Source organism: Homo sapiens, chromosome 8, assembly GCF_000001405.40.
Source record: "Homo sapiens chromosome 8, GRCh38.p14 Primary Assembly".
Taxonomy (NCBI): domain Eukaryota; kingdom Metazoa; phylum Chordata; class Mammalia; order Primates; family Hominidae; genus Homo; species Homo sapiens.
The window spans coordinates 53,879,681-53,898,810 of NC_000008.11; the positions used below are offsets into that span (position 1 = coordinate 53,879,681).

Consider the following 19,130-nt stretch of genomic DNA (forward strand, 5'->3'; position numbering starts at 1 on the left):
ACTGACCCGCTCCGCTGGGGCTAGCAGTAGGGAGGGTGGCAAGGTCGGGAAGGCCGGGACGTGGCTGGGCAAGTCCTAGGACGGGACATTGGCGGCTCCCGGGACACCGCCCCTCCCCGCGGGAAGACACTCCAAGCTACTTTTTCCTGGGCCATTTCCTTTCCATGGTCCAAGAAAACGGGAGGGAGCCCTCGCTCTTCCCCGAGGCTGCCTTTCAAACTCTCAGCGTGTCGCTCTCCTCCGCCTACTCCGAGCCTCCCCCAAACGCGCCTCCGCCTGCTCCCAGCGCTCGCTCTCCCACTCCCCTGCCCTCTCGGCAGGCAAGGGAGGAAATGACGTGATGTTATTTTTGTGTCAGGTCAGTTTCCAGCTTCAGCTTAGCCCTCCGGGCTCCAGGGAACTAACCCCGCGGCCCCACCGGGTCCCACTCCCGAAGGGACGCTGCGGGCTACGGGGACACGCGGTGCTGCGAGTCCGGAGAGCTGGGCGGCTGGGTTCCCCCTCCCGCTGCCCCCTGGTCTACTCCTTTCCCCGGACTCCGGAGTCCCTGGAGAAGGGGACGCGGAGGGCGACTGCCGAGGGTCTCAGCGGGATCTGGAGTCAGGGGTTAGTTCCCCCCCTTATCCCCCGCTCGGTTGCTGGGTGGGGCCTCCGCGCTCTGGCTAGCTGGGAGGGGGCGAGGGCCGCTTTCCAGGGCGGGAAGACCGGAGGCCTAGGCTGCGCCGGGGTGGGGCGGGGACAGAGCTCAGAGAGGCGCCCCGGGCCGGGGAGAAGGTAGGGGGCTGCCCTCCAGAGACGCGCAGTCCACAGACGCGAAGCTCTGGGGACCAAGCGCCCCCTCCATGCCTGCCGCCCACCCCCGCTCCTTCCTCCCGCTCCCTTCATTCACGAGGTCCGAGCACGCAGTCCAGCACACTCTAGTCTCGCTCGGCCCCGCGCGCCGAGGGGAGGCGATGACACAGAGGGCTTCGCGGACGCCCTCTACGCGCGCCTGGCTTCGCATCCACACTCTTGGGACTTGCTAATGCGGGGCTGGAGCAGTGGGGCTGCGGCCGGGGTGGAGGTCGCGCCCCGCGTGGGGCCTCGGGGGTACCCCTAGCACCCGCGGCGGTGGAGTGCGCCGCCGCTGGAGGGAGGCGAGACGTGGGATTGCCCGGCCGGGTAAAAGGAGTGAGGGGGCGGGGAGGAGGCAGAGCAAGGGGAGGAAGAGGCCGGGAGAAGAGGGCTAGAGCAAAGACCGAGAGCCGGAGAAAGGCGAAAGGCGCGGTGAGCAATCGCCGACGTAGAGAGGGCAGCCCTCCGCGCTGCAATATTGAGAAGGCACCCGCGGGACGCATGCGCACGGCGGACGGAGGCGAGCCGGCCGGGGCTTCCTCCCCGGCCGGCAGGGTGGACGGTGGGCTCGTGAGTATCCCAGTTCCTCGAACTCTCTTTCTTCGTCTCGGGCTCGCCCTGAGGCTTCGTGCTGGAAAGTGGCCGAGGCTGGGAGGGGCGCGCCGCTCGTCCGGACCTCAGGGTGTCGCCGTTGCTGCGGGGCGGGAGCCGGTGCGAGTCGGGGGTTCCTTCCCGCAGTGCGAGTTTGGGGGAGTGGGGCTGCGAGTGCGTCCGCGTGCGAAGAGGGGCATCGCGCCACCAGGATCAATATGTCCCGGGCCTGCCAGGGCGTCCGCGATTCCACCTCTGCGGCTTCGCGTCGGTGTCTTGGTGGGGAACGCGGGAGTCTAGTCTTTAGACCCTAGAAATCGCATTGACCACCCGAAGCGTATTTCGGAAAGACCAGGCGGGTGGAAGCGTCGGCTTTCTCACGGGATAGGGAGAGGACAAGGAAGGGGTTGGGCGCCCGGGGCTGGTGGTTTGAGCGCCGCTGGGAAGGGTAAGGAGACAGAGCCTCCTGGAATCGTAGCGCCTCCTTTTAGGAGAAGTGCAACCAGGGCAGGGGCACCGAGGGGCAGGGTGAGGAAGTGGACGCCCCACGCGTGGACCCTAGAAGACCGACTAGGTATGGGCGTTCACTCGGAGCCTCTGTTCACGCTCTTGAAAACCGAATGAACAGAGAAGTGCCCTCCACCCTTCGCCTGCGCCAGGGCAGTTAACGTGCAGGCGCCGCCGGGATTTTCCTGGAACAAACCCGGGCACTTGATCTTCCGCACCCTCGGAGCTGCCCTGGGAAGTCGAAACAAGTCTGGGCGCCCGGACTGCGGAGACTGGAAAGCAGGGGGCGGAGGGCGGGAGACTGGGGGCGGGAAGTGGAGGTGCAGGCTGCAGCTGGGGACCGCGGTGGGCGTTGGAGGGGAGGGTCTGTGTGCGCGGCTGTCCTCCAGCGCTGGGGGAGCGGACGGGCCAGGGGCCTCTAGGGAAGCGGCGCTCCGGGACCGGGGTGGCTTTCCCGTCTCTGTGTGCGCGGCGATCCCCACACCCAGCTCGGGCGGAGGAGCCCTGAGAGAAGCGGCTAGCTGAGAGTGGGGTGGGCGTTTTGGGGAAAGGTTTGCGTGCGCTGCGGCCCTACCGCTGCTAGAGAAGTGGAAGAGAGAGAGTGGGCGCCGGGAGGGGGTCTATAGGCGCCGCGACCTACCCCATCTCCCTCCACGCTTGTGGGGGAGTGAGTGGGGAAGGGGCTTTGGGAGAGGCGGCGCGCGGGCACTGAGGTGCATCGTGAGCTTCCCGGACTTGACAGCATCAAAGGAAAATCCTGGCGAGCAGCCAGGGCCAGCGAGCGACCCCAGCAGCAGGGACGCGGCCGTGCGAGAGCTCGCGGACAGGCGAGGGGGATCCCAGGGGAGCAGCTGCTGCCCACGGGCCACGGGCGATGCACGGAGTGGAGAAGTGAACGTGGTCTACAGGATTTCTGTCCGGAAGGTGGAGAGCGCTACAGGGGAATCTCCTCGATTCCTGTCCGTCTCGTAACTTGGCAAAAGCTCGCGCCACTGCCCTCCGGCCTGGGCGACAGAGCAAGACTCCGTCTCAAAAAAAAAAAAAAAAAATGGCAAAAGCCTATCGCTCTTTGTCGAACTCCCCACGTTCCCCAGTCACCTGGCTGGGGTTCGTTGGTGTCAAAACCCCAGCCTTGGTGCCCTCGGTGCCAGCAGGACCCTCGCCCACTGGCTAGCGGAATTAGGCACCTGCACGCGGGCTCCTCATTGCCCCGGAGTGTGGGGAGGAAGGGGCTTCTGCATCAGTCTCCAGCCACCCTCCTTGGGACACAAGTGGCAGGGCCCTGGCGTGGCTTGGCTTCATTTCATCCCTAGTGGCTCCAAACCGTGGAATTGACTAAACAAATGTTCAAATTCGCAAAACGGTCTGACTTCCGCCCCAAACTTGACAAGGACATTTCTAGTGAAATTACTCTATCTGTAAGTTTTTTGGCACAACCATAGTTTGCAATTTACTATTTTTGTTAAAATATTTTTTCTCCAAACCTAATTTTTTTGGGGGTCTCATCCTGTTTATCTTCTGTTCGTTAAGTGACATCTTTCTTTCTTTTTTTTTTTTCTTTGAGACTGAGTTTCGCTCTTGTGGCCCAGGCTGGAGTGCAATGGCGCGATCTCGGCTCACTGCAACCTCCGCCTCCTGGGTTCAAGAGATTTTCCTGCCTCAGCCTCCCAAGTAGCTGGGGCTGGGATTACAGGCATGCGCCACCACTCCCGGCTAATTTTTTGTATTTTTAGTGGAGACGGGGTTTCTCCATGTTGGTCAGGCTGGTCTTGAACTCCCGGCCTCAGGTGATCCGCCTGCCTCCGCCTCCCAAAGTTCTGGGATTACAGGAGTGAGCCACTGCGCCTGGCCATAAGTGACATCTTTCTTATCACGTATTAGTAACGCATATGAGAGGCAGTGTTGCCAAACCAGTGGGAGTCTTGAGCTCTGTAACTGGGTTCAGATCCCAACCTAACTGCATAAACTTGGACTAGTTACTTATCCTCTCTGGGCGTTAGTTTCATCATCTGTGAAATGGGGGTAATAAGAGCACCTACCTCGGCAGCTCAGCAGAGCACGGTGGCTCACTCCTGTAATCTCAGCACTTTGGGAGGCCGAGGCAGGTGGATCACGTGAGGTCAGGAGTTCTAGGCCAGCCTGGCCAACATGGTGAAACCCCATCTCTACTAAAAATACAAAAAATTAGCCGGGTGTGGTTGCTGGCGCCTGTAATCCCAGTTACTCTGGGGGCTGAGGCAGGAGAATTGCTTGAACTCAGGAGGCAGAGGTTGCAGTGAGCCGAGATGGAGCCACTGCACTCCAGCCTGGGCAACAAGAGCAAAACTCCGTCTCAAAAAAAAAAAAAGAGTATCTACCTAATGTGCTAGCTGACAGCATTCAGTAAATTAATAACATAGAGCTCTTATAACGGGATGGCACATACCAAGCAAAAGCTGTTATTACTATTATTATATTGATGCTAAATTGGCTAGACTTCAAACTATAAATAAGATCAGTAACAGAATGCATATTTTTGTATACTATAAAGAGTATGCATAATGAAACACATGTCCATCATCCAAATTAGAAAAACAGTCTTTTTTTTTTTTTTTTTTTTTTGATGCTGGGTCTCACTCTCTCACCCAGGCTGGAGTGCAGTGGCACGACTGAGGCCCACTGCACCCTTGAACTCCCAGATTCAAAGGATCCTCCCACCTCAGCCTCAGGAGTAGCTGAGACTTAAGGTGCCTGCCACCGCACCTGGCTAATTTTTTAATTTTTTATAGAGACAGGATCTCGCTGTGTTGCCAGGGCTGATGAACAGCCAGTTTAAGAGAATCTGAAAATGTACCTTAGGAGCTTGAAGTGCTAACTTGTCTGAGATCACTGTAAACGTTTTAGCTGAAACACCCCTTATATCAAAAATACAGAATGATGAAAATCAGGTTACTTATTCTACCTCCTTCGTTTTACAGATGAGGAAACATTCAGAGAGGTTAAGGGTCTGGGCCAGAGATCTCCAGCTAATTAGGGGCCAAAATAGAATGAAGACTTCTGACTCATTCCCCAGGGCTCTTACACACCACACTGCTGATTTCCTGTTTACTACGGATTAATGAACTGTTAACAGATAGAAAGTATAAATAAGGAAAAAGTGTACGAGCATGTGCTATCTCTAGCACCAAGAAGGACCAGGCAGTCATGTCGTGGCTACTGTTGTCCCACAGCTTTATCTTGGTCCCTCACATTATAAGACATGACCACATGACTCGCCTCAGGTAAGGTAAGGTCACAGATCAAGCTATTGTCAGAGCCAGCATTAGCATTTTAGGCCCCACTTGGGTATACATTTGATTGCATATTCTATTAATCTCCTGTAGCAGTTTTAGAAATCATTTTTGAGCTTTTCTTGAATTCTTAAAATATCCTTCCAGCTGGCTTTGAAGGTCTTTCCTATAAGAAAGCCTTTTAGAAAACGCCTTCAAAATTACACAGAAGGAGATTTTATTATTCTAGATTTTATGGACTAGCGAGAGTAAAAGAGAAAAGCTTTCTTATTTTAATGCAGTAGCCTGTAACTGGTTTCATTCCAGGCATTAAGTATTAATTCCTGAAATCCTGCTGTTCTTTTATTTCCGCATGTGGGCATCTAACCACATTCACCTTCCATGGACAGATGCAGATAGTGGCTTAAAGGTCCAGCCCTCACATCCACAGTTTAAGAATTATACAGCAGAGGCCGGGCGCGGTGGCTCACGCCTGTAATCCCAGCACTTTGGGAGGCCGAGGCGGGTGGATCACGAGGTCAGGACATCGAGACCATCCTGGCTAATGCGGTGAAACCCCGTCTCTACTAAAAAATACAAAAAATTAGCTGGGCGTATTAGCGGGCGTCTGTAGTACCAGCTACTCGGGAGGCTGAAGCAGGAGAATGGCATGAACCTGGGAGGCGGGGCTTGCAGTGACCCGAGATTGCGCCACTGCACTCCAGTCTGGGCGACAGAGGGAGACTCCGTCTCAAAAAAAAAAATGAATTATACGGCAGAGACTTTCTAGTGAACATCTGGTCTTACAAAGTTATTTATAGGGATGGTGTGTCTTCCAGGGGAGGTACTTCTAGGAATTATGCCTGCATCCTTGAAAAAGGAAACCGTGGTTTTTTCCAGTGTGTGAACTGGATACTGAGTATCTTACTCTTTTTTTTTTTTTTTTTTTTTTGACTCCAAGAAACCTCTTGCATGAATACCCTACTCTTGAATACTTTGCATCTTGGGATACTTACTACATGTTCTTAGACAGAAGGACAGGGCATTAAGAAGGGAGTGACTTTCTAGCATGCTCCCAAGCCAGTTTGGCAGAACTTAGTTTTGAAATCACATGTGTCAAGTTAGGTCCCAATATGATTATAATGTGAATCACTGTCCAATTGGGAATATTTCAGATTGGTTTTCAGTGCACCACCAGGTGACTCACAATGTGAGCTTCTATTCAAACAAGTACAGTGTCAGTCAGCAACTAATAGGGCTCACTCTGAGTCAGAGCTTAGCATTTAGTACAATAAGTGGGAGTCACTGACTACACGGCACCATCTGAGATGGTCCCTGAATGTTACTTTGCGCAGCTAGCTCAAGAGTTAAGGCGACGCTGCTTGGAGTGAGTCAGTTCATAGTACAATTGAATGGGCTCTTGGAGAGGCCATTCACAATCAAGTTTGATGTGGCTGAGTGCTCAGAGTAATATTACATGATTATAAATTCATGGAGTAGATTACCTTGATTCTAATCCAGCTGATTAGAGTCTAGCTATTTGCATAGGGAATCACTTGTGAAATATGAGTAATATGCTCTGTTGCCCAGCAGTGATATTTTACATGAGTTATTTCAATAGTTATTAAAGCCAGTTGACCTTTTTGATTTTGAAAGCTCAATTTCTAGTTACGCATTTATTTTATTCTAAAGTGTAAAATCCTTTTCATGTGAGCATTTGGGTTTTAGGCAAAGGCATCTCATGCAAAGTTATCTGATAGCTTGGCTTCCTGAGGTGCTGGGTTGTACGATGTGCACCTCCGTCCAACAGTGAAGGAGTGGAGAACGCCCTGCTATCTGGTTTGTCTACATTTGTGCCCCTCTGAAGCTGACTGAATTGTGGTTGTTCAAGGCTGGAGCACAAGTTTGTACTGCTGCTCTTAGACTAAGGACACTGGGGACTTTAACCCTTTTAGGGCTGAATGGCTAGAATCAACACTTATACAGCTGTTGAATTTTTGCAACATTGGAAAGAATTATGTAACCTACTCCTTACCTCACCCTTATAATGGACTTTTATGTCTCAGGGTGGGGTGATAATGTGATTTAAGGGACTCGTAGATTTCTTTCTTTCTTTCTTTTCATGTCTTTTATTAACTAATACACAATTACTTGTCTTCTGGTTTGTTGAAGCAATAAATCAGACAACATTAGCCACAATAATGCCTGTCAGAGTGGCTGGCCATAAAAACTCCAGCACCGCATTCATCTGAAGGGCACTCCCAGCGAAGGCCACTAATTCTGCCATTTTCATCCACCTTATAGTATTTCAGGACACCCACTTCACCTTCTTTCTCTTATGCTTATTCTTGGGAGTCGTGTAAGATTTCTTCCTAGTTTTAGCACTACCATGAAGTCTCAACACAACATAAAAAGAGTAAATTCCTTTTGAATGTTGTAGTCAGAGAAAGTTATGTCCATCTTCCAGTTACTTGCCAGCTTCCAGTCACTTGTCTTTGCTGATCAGGAGGAATTCGTTCCTTATCCTGGATATTGGCCTTTACATTTTTCTGTTGTATCCAAGGGTTCAACCTCTAGGGTGATGATCGTCCCTGTAAGGATTTTTGGAAAAATCTGCATTTTGGTGGAGGCTCCACCTGAGGTTGAGGGAAATGAAGAGATGGGTTAGACTGTGGACACAAGAGAGGTGACACAGGAGAGGGTGCTGGCCAGAGAGCAGCCCAAGAGCACACGCCCATAGATTTCTTAATTTGTATAAAAGTCATGTTGATAATTAATGACAGGAAGTCATTATCCAGAGAACTCAGATTAGACTACTGTTAAAAAGTACATGTGGCCAGGCGTGGTGGCTCACGCCTGTAATTCCCACACTTTAGGAGGCCAAGACGGGTGGATCACTTGAGCCCAGGAGTTCCAGACCAGCCTGGGCAACATAGTGAAACCCCGTCTCTTTAAAAAATGCAAAAAATTAGCTGGGTGTGGTGGTGCACACCTGTAGTCCCAGCTACTTGGGAGGCTGAGGCTGGAGAATCACCTGAGCCTGGGGACACTGAGGTTGCAGTGGGCCATGATCTTGCCTCTGCCCTCCAGCCTGGGCAACAGAGTGAGACCCTGACTTAAAAAAAAAAAAGGTATATGTATATTTTTCTCTATTCATCTTTTGATGACTCCAGAAGAATCTTACATGTATGGGGTCTTCCATTATACATTCATTGTGTTTTTACAAATACTTATTTCTAGTGACTACCCAGATATAATTCATATATCTCCTGCCATAAAGAAAGGTATAGATATTTCTTTGCATTTAAGGGGGACTTTACATACAGAGTTTAATTCTTCCTGACCTACTATAATCCCCGCAAATTTCAGTTGTTAGGACTGTTTAATGAATTAGAGTATTTCTAAAACTGAAACAAAGTTTTTCTGTGTTTGTTAGGTTTCAGTGAGGAGCTATTTGGTATTTTTGTGAGGTTTATGACAGCTTTTAACTTCATTTACTTGAGTTATAACTTACAGTAAAGTTTACACATCTTAAGAGTACAGCTTAGTAAACTTTATGTAAGTGTACCCCCACAGAACCACCATTTAGATCAGGGTTTCTCACCTCAGCACTGTGGAAATTTGGGGTTGAACAACTCCTTATTGAGGGGGGCTGTCCATTGCCCTGTAGGATGTTTAGCAGTATCCCTGATCTCCACCCACTGCATGATGCAGTAGCGCCCCTCCCTGGATGCCATGACCAAAAATGTCTCTAGACATTGCCAAGCGTCCTCTGGGGCCAAAATCACTCACCACGGCTCTAGATGAAGATATAGGATATTTTCAGCCCCCCGTGCTCTCCCAAAGATTCCGTCTCGCTTCCTTCCATTCAGGACTCACTCCCACAGGTAACCACTTTTATAACTTTTTTCACCATATACCAATTGTGCCTGCTTTTAAACTTCATATGTAATTAAACAGTGTATAATATTTGCATCTGGTTCTTTAGCTCAGCATTATGTTTTTGAGATTCATTTGTTGTTGTACGTGTTGTTATTTTTTAATGCTGTGCAGCGTTCCTTTGTGTGAATACACCACAGTGTATTCCATTCCACTACTGAAGAAATTTTAGTTGTTTCCAGTGTGGAGCTATTATGAATAATGCTAATATGAACATTCTCATTCATGTCTTTTGATGAACTTATTTCCTTTGGGTATATGCCCAGGATAAAAATTGTTGGGTAATAAGTCCAGTGTATGTTTAGCTTTAGTAGATACTGCAAAACTGTTTCATAGTCCAAATCAGTTTACATCCATCCCCACCAGCAAAGTGTGTATTGCTTCACATCCTCACCAGTACTTAGTATTGTTTGCCCATTTAACTTTAGTCATTCTGGTGGCTGTGTAGTGGTATCTCATTATGGTTTTAATTTGTATTTCCCTGGCTACTAATGATGTTAAGCATCTTCTTATATGTTTTTGGGTCAAGTCATTTGTATATTTTCTATTTAAAATGCCTCTACAAGCCTTTGGCCCATTTTTCTTTTTCTTTCTTTCTTTCTCTCTCTCTCTCTTTTTTTTTTTTTTTTTTTTTTTTTTTTTTTTTTTTTTTGAGACAGGGTCTCACTCTGTTGCCCAGGCTGGAAGGCAGTGGCACAATTAGCCGTGAAGCTGAGACTATAGGTGTCCACCACCACACTCAACTAATTTTTTTATTTTGGATATTGGGAAGGGGTAGAGATGGGGTTTCACCATGTTGCCCAGGCTGGTCTTGAACTTCTGTTTGGCCCATTTTTCTATTGTGCCGCTGATCTTTTATTATTGTTATTATTGATCTGTCACAGTTCTTTATATATTCTGGATACAAGCCATCTGTCAAAATTCTGTGTGTGTGTGTGTGTGTGTGTGTGTGTGTGTGCACGTGCTGCAAATCTCTTCTTCCAGTCTGGCCTGCCTTTACACTCTCATTCCATTATCTTTTGACTTTCCTAGTTTCTGTTGGAAAGTTATGCTTCTTTGAAGGTAGCCTGTTGTTATCCTCATAAAGTTTTTCTCTCATTTTTGACTTACCACAGTGAATATAATGTGCCTATATGTGGTTTTCATTTTATTTATTCTCCTTTGGGTTAACTGAGCTTCTTTTATCTGTGGATTGACGTCTTTCATCAACTTTGGAAAATTTTCACTCAATATCTCTTCAAATATGGCTTTGTCTGGTTTTCTTTCTTTCTCTCCTGCTTCTGGGACCCAAATCACAGATATGTTGGCCTTTTTCCTTCATGTCTCTTATTGTCTGATCTGTTTTGTTCATTTCGCATATCTTTCTGCTTCAATTTGAATATTTTCTGTTGACCTGTGTTTTAGTTAATTAAGCTGTCTTCCTCTGTGCCTGAGTCTTCTGTCAAATCATCTAGTGAGTTATTAATTTCAGAACTTGTTTTCTTCTAAATGTAGTATGCCAATTTGATTCATTTTAATACATTTAAATTATCTGATGAAATTTCCCATCTTTTCATCAGTTTAGTCCATCTAATTCTTATCTACTAAATCCAATGAGATCATCTGTGTGCCTGTATCCATTTTTTTATTCATCACATTTTTATCTCTCTTCACATATCTAGTAATTTTTATTATATGTAGACATTGTATATAAAGAAACTGTGTAGGTTCTGGTAATTTCTTCCACCAGCAAGGATTGAATCTCCCTTGGAGGGATTTCCTGTCTAAGGATGAAGGACTGAAGGGCTGATCACTTCAGGCCAGCAGGTATTAGAATGGGTCAGATCTGGTAACAGTTTTGGGGGTTTTTTTGTTTTGACATGGAATCTCCCTCTGTCACCCCTAGAATGGAGTACATTGGCACCATTATAACCTAGAATTCCTGGGCTCAAGCAGTCCTCCCACTTCAACCTCCTGAGTAGCTGGGATTACAGGCACTTGCCAATTCACCTGACCATTTTTTACAAATGTTTTGTAGAGATGGGGTCTCGCTATGTTACCCAGACTGGTGGCTGCAGTTTTAATAAGATTTAGCTAATGCCCAGTTCTTTCTTGTTCCTTGGGAATTTTCTCTTGGATTCCAGAATGAAAGCCTGATGGACTTCTATCTCCTTGGTCTCAAAAGAATGGAAGACTCAGTCTTGCCTTCAGAGGTTTTAAGTTTGTTCTTTGCCTCCACCTTCCCCATATGGCCGCCACATTTGATAAATGTCTTGTAGGACCCAGCCATGTGTTTGAGGAAGTCCTTGTTACTGAAGGGGACTTGTTCTGCCACATGAGAAAAGAGTCCCTTTATGTCCACAGCTTGTGCTAACGGTCAGCAAAAGCCCTCAGGAAAAAAACAGCTAGTGACAGACAGCTCAGCTTGGAAGAACTCTCTTACTCAGAAATTTTAGTTTATATAATATTTTTGCTTTCACAGTTCTCTGATGACTTTAGAAATGTAATTTCACTTATTTATCTGAGTTTTTTAGTTGTTGCATAAGAATAGTGATTTGGGCCAGGCGCAGTGGCTCATGCCTTTAATCCCAGCACTTTGGGAGGCCAAGGTGGGTGGATCACTTGAGGTCAGGATTTCGAGACCAGCCTGGCCAACATAGCAAAACCTCATCTCTACTAAAAATGCAAAAAAATTAGCCAGGTGTGGTGGCGTGTGCCTGTAGTCCCAGCTACTCAGGAGGCTGAGGCAGGAGAATCGCTTGAACCCGGGAGGCAGAGATTGCAGTGAGCCAAGATCATGCCAGTGCACTCTAGCCTGGGTGACAGAGCAGGATTCTGTCTAAAAAAAAAAGTGATCTGCCTTGACCTATTGACATTTTTCTTGAATTAATTTTCTGTGTATTACATTGTTATCTTTCTTTTATATCATTTGTTTCCAATGTAATTCAGAAAATGTGTATTTAAAAATTTGCCATTTGTGAGTGTAAAATGTAATACATGTTTTGTCAGTTTGAAAACACTGGAAAGAAAAGAAGTATGTTATAATTTTTGCAACTTTTTTTTTTTGGTCAGTCCCTTCATCTAGGCAGCCTAGGCCCAGATTTTTTTTTAAATTATTATTATTATTACACTTTAAGTTTTAGGGTACATGTGCACAATGTGCAGGTTAGTTACATATGTATACATGTGCCATGCTGGTGTGCTGCACCCATTAACTCGTCATTTAGCATTAGGTATATCTCCTAATGCTATCCCTCCCCTCTCCCCACACCCCACAACAGTCCCCGGAGTGTGATGTTCCCCTTCCTGTGTCCATGTGTTCTCATTGTTCAGTTCCCACCTATGAGTGAGAACATGCGGTGTTTGGTTTTTTGTCCTTGTGATAGTTTACTGAGAATGATGATTTCCAGTTTCATCCATGTCCCTACAAAGGACACGAACTCATCATTTTTTATGGCTGCATAGTATTCCATGGTGTATATGTGCCACATTTTCTTAATCCAGTCTATCATTGTTGGACATTTGGGTTGGTTCCAAGTCTTTGCTATTGTGAATAGTGCCGCAATAAACATACATGTGCATGTGTCTTTATAGCAGCATGATTACACTGTTGGTGGGACTGTAAACTAGTTCAACCATTGTGGAAGTCAGTGTGGCGATTCCTCAGGGATCTAGAACTAGAAATACCATTTGACCCAGCCATCCCATTATTGGGTATATACCCAAAGGACTATAAATCATGCAACTCTTTATGCTTCAGATTGCAGTTATGTAATGTAAAAAGCATGAGTATTGGAATGAAAGAGAACTAGGCTCAAACTTTGACTTTGATCATTAGTTTTGTGAGCCTCTGAATTTGAATGTGTATAGCAGTGATAAGAATACTTGCTTTAACGTAATACATGTACAGCAGAGGGTTCAAGAGAGTATCAGTAAGTGGTACCTCTTGCCAATATTCTCCTAATATTTATCATTATTTTAAGCCCCTGACCATGTATAATTTGATTTTAAACATTTATATTTTGATATATTTCTATTTGGTACAGTTTCTAAAATTTTCACCATTTGAACAATGTTCTTTTAAAAAAACTTAATATAAAAGACCTGTACCATGACTTAATATCCAGGAAAAATATTACTAATAAGTTTATGAATTCATATTTGGCCTAATCTTTGTCACTTGTAGACCCCCAAAAAATGACCTCCTGAAACTGAAGAATTTAGATAAAATTTAGTTGCAGAAAGAATTGCATTCAGAATAGTCACTCTCAGTAAAATCCACATTTAACTACTTCGTGTTATATCAAGTAGGGCTTATAATAAGATATTGGCAATAAGAAAACAATATTAAAAAATATTAAGAAAAGGCTAACAGTATTTTCTGGAAAGAATAGCTGGTTGACCTTTGCAGAGGAAAGTCTATGTGGAGACTGTAATTTTAACATTATCTCCATGAATGATTTAAATATAATTAATTTTCATATTAGATTTCCTGTTGCCAAGTTGCTCTTTTATTTTGACTATGGCATTTGCTTCTTGAAAAAAAAATACTATATTAATATATAGAAATAGTTAGATTCTACTCTAAAGCTGAGATGAAAATAGTAAACCTGGAGGCGGAGTAGCAGGACTCTCCTGACCTGGGCCAGGAGGACAGCACTGATGTGTGTGTCCCCAAGGCCTTGGACTTATCTCAGTCTCACCTGTCATCTCACTCTTATTATCTCAGCCTTTAGTTCCTTACTTTGATGACAGCCAGCTTCAGTGACAGCCGGCTTTGCTCTCTGACCTCCGTATTCTGAGGACTGCTCTCCTTACCATTTGTGGGCAGATTTAAGTCAAAGCATAAGAGTGAGGGGATCTAGTTATGCAACAACCTGAAATTTATCAAATTCTCACTAGAGCTAAGTTTTTGCCAAACACATAAGTTGCCTTCGGCCCCTTGAGTGACTGGTTAGGCAGTGCTGTTCTTTTGGCAAAATGAAATACTTATTAACAAAAACACCAGAACATCATAACCAGACCACATAGAATAAATTTGGCTTAAAGGATGAAAGAGTACTAAGAAGTATAAAAAGGATAAAATTATGCAAAATCTAGTAAAGCGAAAAACTCACCCGAGCATGTTAAACAAATGTCATAAACTAAACAAAAGGCTTTATTTCTTTTCTTTATCTTCTAGTGATCTGTGTTCAAAATCATAAAGGCATTTATGAAAAGTATAAATACTAACTTAGGTAGATAAAACATTTGTTAAAATCTATCAAGTCTGGTCTGATAATTAGGAGGCTACATATAGCTTATATTTTCTTAATTGAAACAGGTCCCCTATGTGCCATTTTACCCAATACGTTAGTATGGAGGTTTTTGTCCTGGGTCTCTGTGTCCAACTGCCTTGTTTTGTCTTACTGAAAGGTTATAAATGCTATGGTTCCCTGCGAAGAGTCCAAAGCGCATAACCACTGAACATTTCAAGTCTGAAATTTCTTCAATTTTAGATCTGTTTGTTCAACATATCTACTATTTGACACTTCACACCAAGGGGGAGGGAGATCTAAAATTCAGTAGATATTTTGGTGCAAACTGTAGAAAACTAAAACCTCGAGGAGCAGAGATTCTCCCATGCACATCCTAGGAACTGCAGACAAAAACATTCTGTCAGCTTAGCCCAGAGAACTGTCTTGGGAATGCTAAGGCCCTGTGGGACAACGTAATGCCCTGGAGTTTCTATTAGCCCACTCGAATCAACAGCAGACCTTCTGGGAAAAGGACTCCAGAAGACTTCACTGATGGGCCTACACAAATAATCCAAATCCATCGAATGTGGCCCATGTGCAGCTGTGGTATGAGGGGCACAGTTCTGTGGGGTGACAGATGCATCCATGCCTTGAACCACATGATCTAGATTCAAGTCTGTTTGGGGCTGACTGAATGTCAGGCACATTAGGCAACCTCCCTGAAGCTGAGTTTTCCCTATTAATAAATGGGATCTCAAAATCTCCACAAAATCATTTCACATATTAAATGTAAGATGTGATACATTTGCTCATGTAAACATAGGGGAAAATTGTGCAATATTTAGACCCTGATAGAGTTTGGATTTTTTCTAGTGTCAGGATTTGCCATTGAAGCCCACAGGAGGGGACTAACAGGATCTGGATTCTATTTTAAAAGAGTTAGTAAATATTTTAGGCTTGTGGGTCATTGCAATTACTCACCTCTGCTACTGTAGCAGAAAGCTGTGCGGGGAGAGGGAAGGAGGTGGATATGGGACTTATCGTAGCCATCGAGACAAGAGATGGGGCCGCCAGCCTAGGAGAAGTAGCGGGGATGCAGTGCAGGCCTGGCGTGAGTCCTGGAGATGCAGTGAGCTTGCTAATGAGTGATGCATGAGGAATCAAGGTGACTTCTTGATGTAGGTGGATGGTGGCAACATGTGTGGCCATGGAGAAGACAGGAGGTGAAACAGAGGGGCTGGAGGAGGAGATGCAAGATTCCATGTTAGACCCTAGAGATGTCCAGGAGAGCTCCAACTGTGGTGCCAGGCAGCTGGTTGGATCTGTGTGTATGGCACCCAGGGAATGGCCTGGGCTAGAGGCAGAAATGTGGATTCGTTAGGCTCTGATGATGTGCAGCCTGCTGTACTGTGGTACGCTAAATGATCATGAAGTTATGGTGGGAAGCCTTGAAAATAATCAGTAGGATCTTACTACTTTAGAATCTGCGCTTCCTTTTCTCAATTATCCATAAACAGTCTATGAAGAATTTCTGTTTATGACAGGGGTCAGCAAACAAGGCACAGGGCCACCTCCAGCCCTCTGCCTGCTTTTGTATGCCCTGAACACTAATAATAGTTTTTCTTTTTATTCCTTTTTTTTTTTTTTGAGACAGGGTCTTGTTCTGTTGCCCAGGCTGGAGTGCAGTGGCGGGATCTCGGCTCACTGCAACCTCTGCCTCCCAGGTTCAAGCAGTTCTCTTGCCTTAGCCTCTTGAGTAGCTGGGACTACAGGCACCCGGAACCATGCCTGGCTAATTTCCTTGTATTTTTAGTAGAAATAGGGTTTCACCATGTTGGTCAGAGTTGTTTCAAACTCCTGACCTCAAATGATCTGCCCGCCTCGGCCTCCCAAAGTGCTGGGTTTACAGGCATGAGCCACCACGCCCAGCCAAGAATGGTTTTTACATTTTTTAATTGTTGGGAGAAAAAGTGAGAAGAATAAGGCCAGACATGATGGCTCATGCCTGTAATCCCAGCACTTTGGGAGGCCAAAGCGAGAGAATCTCTTGAGGTTGGGAGTTTGAAACCAGCCTGGGCAACAAAGCAAGACCCTGCCTCTGCAAAAAGTAAAAAATTAGCCAAGTGTGGTGGCATGAGCCTTAGTCCCTGCTACTCAGGAGGCTGATGCAGGAGGATCACTTGAGCCCAGGAGGTTGAGGCTGCAGTGGGCCATGGATTGCACCACTGCACTCCAACCTGTGTGACAGAGTGAGATGCTGTCCCCCCCAAAAAAAGAAGAATATTTTGTGACACATGAAAATTTTACAGAATTCAGATTTCAGCATTCATAAAGATTTATTGGAGCACAGCCATGCTCATTTGTTTGATGTTTGAGCTGCCTTTGTGATATAGAGGCAGAATTGAGTAGTTGCAGACAGACCAGGAGGCCTGCAAAGTGTGCAATATGTATGCTCTGGTCCCTCACTGAAAACATTTGTCTACCTCTGGACTATAGCATAAATATAAGTGTGGGGTATTACTAAGTTTTTGTAGGAAACAATCTGTATGAAAGTAAATACGAAGTTCAAGCAATGACAGTTTTAATTCTTATAGAATAGTCTACTCTTTAAAAAAATTTCAAAAGACAGACCAGAAAACCAATTAAAGGCAATCTCCTATAGGAAATAAAATCAAAGGACCCAACTTAAGATTCCTTTGGGTATGCACTATTTCAACATTCAGCATTTTCATATTAACAGGAAAACTTAGTAGCAATTAACAAGCCCCAAAAGGACTAATGAAGAAGGACCACAGGGAAATAATATGCACAAAGGTTTTGTGGCTGAGAGAGCTCAGATGGCTTTCAGAGATTTCAAATTACTTACAGCTTGAAAGCTTTAAATAGAATAGGAGCTTGCTATTTCATACCATTATCATAGAAGAATCATCCCAGGATAAAAAATTCTAATAATGGACAAAAGACAAAGTTTGAGGAGCCAATGCTACTGTCCACGGGGGATCATAGAGAATTTTCTATGGGCAAAAGTGGAATTTGTGAAAAAAGAAATGTAGAGGGAAAATTTGCCCAGACATTCCTGTAAGAAGTAGAGAAAGCTAGTTAGTCACTTATAAACACATCTTTTGTACATTTTTATCCTTAATTTGCATGTACGTTGACACATTCCATAACCCATCTGCTGTAATTGATGGAGAGGAACTTCTTCAGCAAATATTCATCCAGGCCTAATGTCTGTTAAGATTTGTGCCCAGCACAAGCAGACTGGGCTAGGGCTGCCCTGGCAGACTGGACCAGACTAGAGGTGGATTCCTGCAGCACTGGGTAAGGCCCTGCTCTCACTTGTGGTCAAACTTGGATGCCCTGTCCATAAGAGTTTCCTTAGTTCCAGCTAATAATTTAGGGGCAATGGTAGGAAGCATCAGTAGAAATGTTATTCATTAAAGACAGTTCAAATAAAAATGAATGTTACTTTTAAGGAACTTATCTTTTACTAAGCATACTTTATAATATCCATATAGTAACCACAATACATTTGTCATACCCAACAAAATTAACAGTAAGCAATTCACATCATCTAATGTGTAACCATAGTACATTCTTTCTTATTAGCCTCTTTACTAATCTTCCTCATCATCCATCTTCTTTTTCATACGCCAACTTGAAGAAATTGGACCTGCTGCCCCGTCGATTGTCCCACATTGAATTCATTTGCTGCTTTCTCAAGTTGCTAACTTGTTCCTGTATTCCCTAAATTTCTGCAAACTAGAGGTTAGACTCAAAGGCTCAAATAAATTCCTGTTGCATCACATCAGAGGGACACAATGTCTGCAAAATTGGCTCGCTTTTAGTTATGGAAAGGACATTATTTCTAAAAGCTTGGTAGGTCAGTCCAAATTATACAGAGCGGCTGATAGGTCCAAGGCATGTGGGGCACACACTGCAAAGGCAACAGGTGCTACTCTTACTACAGCTGCCTTCTGCTTGCTGAAAGAGCTTGAGTGTCCACTCCGGGCCATACTTTGGGAGCTCTGTTCCTCAGCAGGGCTGGAATGCCTCCTTGATGGCTGTGGGGCTGGATCCCACCCGCTCGCCTTGCACCACCAGGAGCTGCTGCTCTGCCTCCCCCTGGCTATAATTCCCTGCCTGACTTGAGGAGTGGTGGTGATGATGATGATGATGATGAGGTTGTGTTTCCCTTCTGCACTGTTAATTTGGAGAATGTTCCAGGTGAGGAAAATGCATCACCTTCAGAGGATACCAGATGTTACCCAGACCACTGTCCTGGTATTGAGGGTACTCAGAGTGTACCTAGAAGTAGGTGTGGCCATTAGGGAGCACAGAAGGAGTGTTACCCTTTTTCTTTTGGGAGGCTGTGTTCCTTCCACCACATCAGAACCAAAGAAGAAACTGGCCTCCTCCTAATGCTCCATTGCCTTCACCATTACTTCCATATAATAACCTTGTGGCACTTTAACAGAAGTGTGGATTTGTGGAGGATTTAAATTCATATCAAATGTCAATTCACATTTTTTAGGGTTATATTGAAGCATGCATAACACATGATATCCTGTGGGCTCTAGATTACTTAGATTTCAAAACCAGAGATAGAAATGAAATATGTATGAGATTGAATACAGTAAGGGCTTATGTGGCATTAATTGCACATATTTATTGTTTTCTCTATTAAATAAAAGCTGAACTGTAATTAGTTAAGCCAGATGCATTTCTGTTTTTCCAGATGCACTGTGGGAACCCACTTTTCCACCTGGTGAATGTTGAAAAGACTATAAATACA

General features: G+C 45.3%; 1 protein-coding gene and 1 pseudogene across 7 annotated transcripts in view, besides 9 other annotated features; one reads left to right on the forward strand and one right to left on the reverse strand.

Annotated features, from left to right (window-relative positions):
• The window catches only part of RGS20 (regulator of G protein signaling 20), a 107,509-nt gene that overhangs the window by 27,886 nt on the left and 60,493 nt on the right, over window positions 1–19,130 (forward strand). For 2 of the 7 annotated variants that reach the window (NR_104579.2, NR_104578.2), the window contains exon 1: window positions 1,336–1,404. The exons of 4 other annotated variants lie outside the window; for them this stretch is intronic. Coding sequence is in view for 1 of the 3 variants with exons in the window: in NM_003702.5 (NP_003693.2) it covers window positions 1,336–1,404 (69 nt within the window). In the remaining 2 variants the exon portion in view is untranslated. Of the gene's footprint in view, window positions 1–1,191; window positions 1,405–19,130 lie in introns of those variants that run through there. One more of the 7 variants, NM_003702.5, reaches the window with a different exon arrangement.
• Window positions 149–443: an enhancer, noted in NCBI's record as "tiled region #5984; HepG2 Activating non-DNase unmatched - State 4:PromP, and K562 Activating DNase unmatched - State 4:PromP". NCBI's record gives its function as "activates a minimal TATA promoter and a strong SV40 promoter by Sharpr-MPRA in HepG2 and K562 cells {active_cell/tissue: HepG2 | K562}" and the evidence as "EXISTENCE:reporter gene assay evidence [ECO:0000049][PMID:27701403]".
• Window positions 632–771: a silencer, noted in NCBI's record as "silent region_19194". NCBI's record gives its function as "represses an Ori minimal core promoter by ATAC-STARR-seq in GM12878 lymphoblastoid cells {active_cell/tissue: GM12878}" and the evidence as "EXISTENCE:reporter gene assay evidence [ECO:0000049][PMID:35858748]".
• Window positions 852–901: a silencer, noted in NCBI's record as "silent region_19195". NCBI's record gives its function as "represses an Ori minimal core promoter by ATAC-STARR-seq in GM12878 lymphoblastoid cells {active_cell/tissue: GM12878}" and the evidence as "EXISTENCE:reporter gene assay evidence [ECO:0000049][PMID:35858748]".
• Window positions 1,032–1,141: a silencer, noted in NCBI's record as "silent region_19196". NCBI's record gives its function as "represses an Ori minimal core promoter by ATAC-STARR-seq in GM12878 lymphoblastoid cells {active_cell/tissue: GM12878}" and the evidence as "EXISTENCE:reporter gene assay evidence [ECO:0000049][PMID:35858748]".
• Window positions 1,032–1,722: a biological region, named in NCBI's record as "H3K4me1 hESC enhancer GRCh37_chr8:54793331-54793962".
• Window positions 1,091–1,722: an enhancer, noted in NCBI's record as "H3K4me1 hESC enhancer chr8:54793331-54793962 (GRCh37/hg19 assembly coordinates)". NCBI's record gives its function as "activates a minimal SCP1, AML or CMV promoter by ChIP-STARR-seq in naive H9 embryonic stem cells {active_cell/tissue: H9 hESC(naive)}" and the evidence as "EXISTENCE:reporter gene assay evidence [ECO:0000049][PMID:30033119]".
• Window positions 1,723–2,354: an enhancer, noted in NCBI's record as "H3K4me1 hESC enhancer chr8:54793963-54794594 (GRCh37/hg19 assembly coordinates)". NCBI's record gives its function as "activates a minimal SCP1, AML or CMV promoter by ChIP-STARR-seq in naive H9 embryonic stem cells {active_cell/tissue: H9 hESC(naive)}" and the evidence as "EXISTENCE:reporter gene assay evidence [ECO:0000049][PMID:30033119]".
• Window positions 2,632–2,701: an enhancer, noted in NCBI's record as "active region_27362". NCBI's record gives its function as "activates an Ori minimal core promoter by ATAC-STARR-seq in GM12878 lymphoblastoid cells {active_cell/tissue: GM12878}" and the evidence as "EXISTENCE:reporter gene assay evidence [ECO:0000049][PMID:35858748]".
• Window positions 4,835–4,884: an enhancer, noted in NCBI's record as "active region_27363". NCBI's record gives its function as "activates an Ori minimal core promoter by ATAC-STARR-seq in GM12878 lymphoblastoid cells {active_cell/tissue: GM12878}" and the evidence as "EXISTENCE:reporter gene assay evidence [ECO:0000049][PMID:35858748]".
• Window positions 7,328–7,799, reverse strand: RPS27AP13 (RPS27A pseudogene 13; annotated as a pseudogene).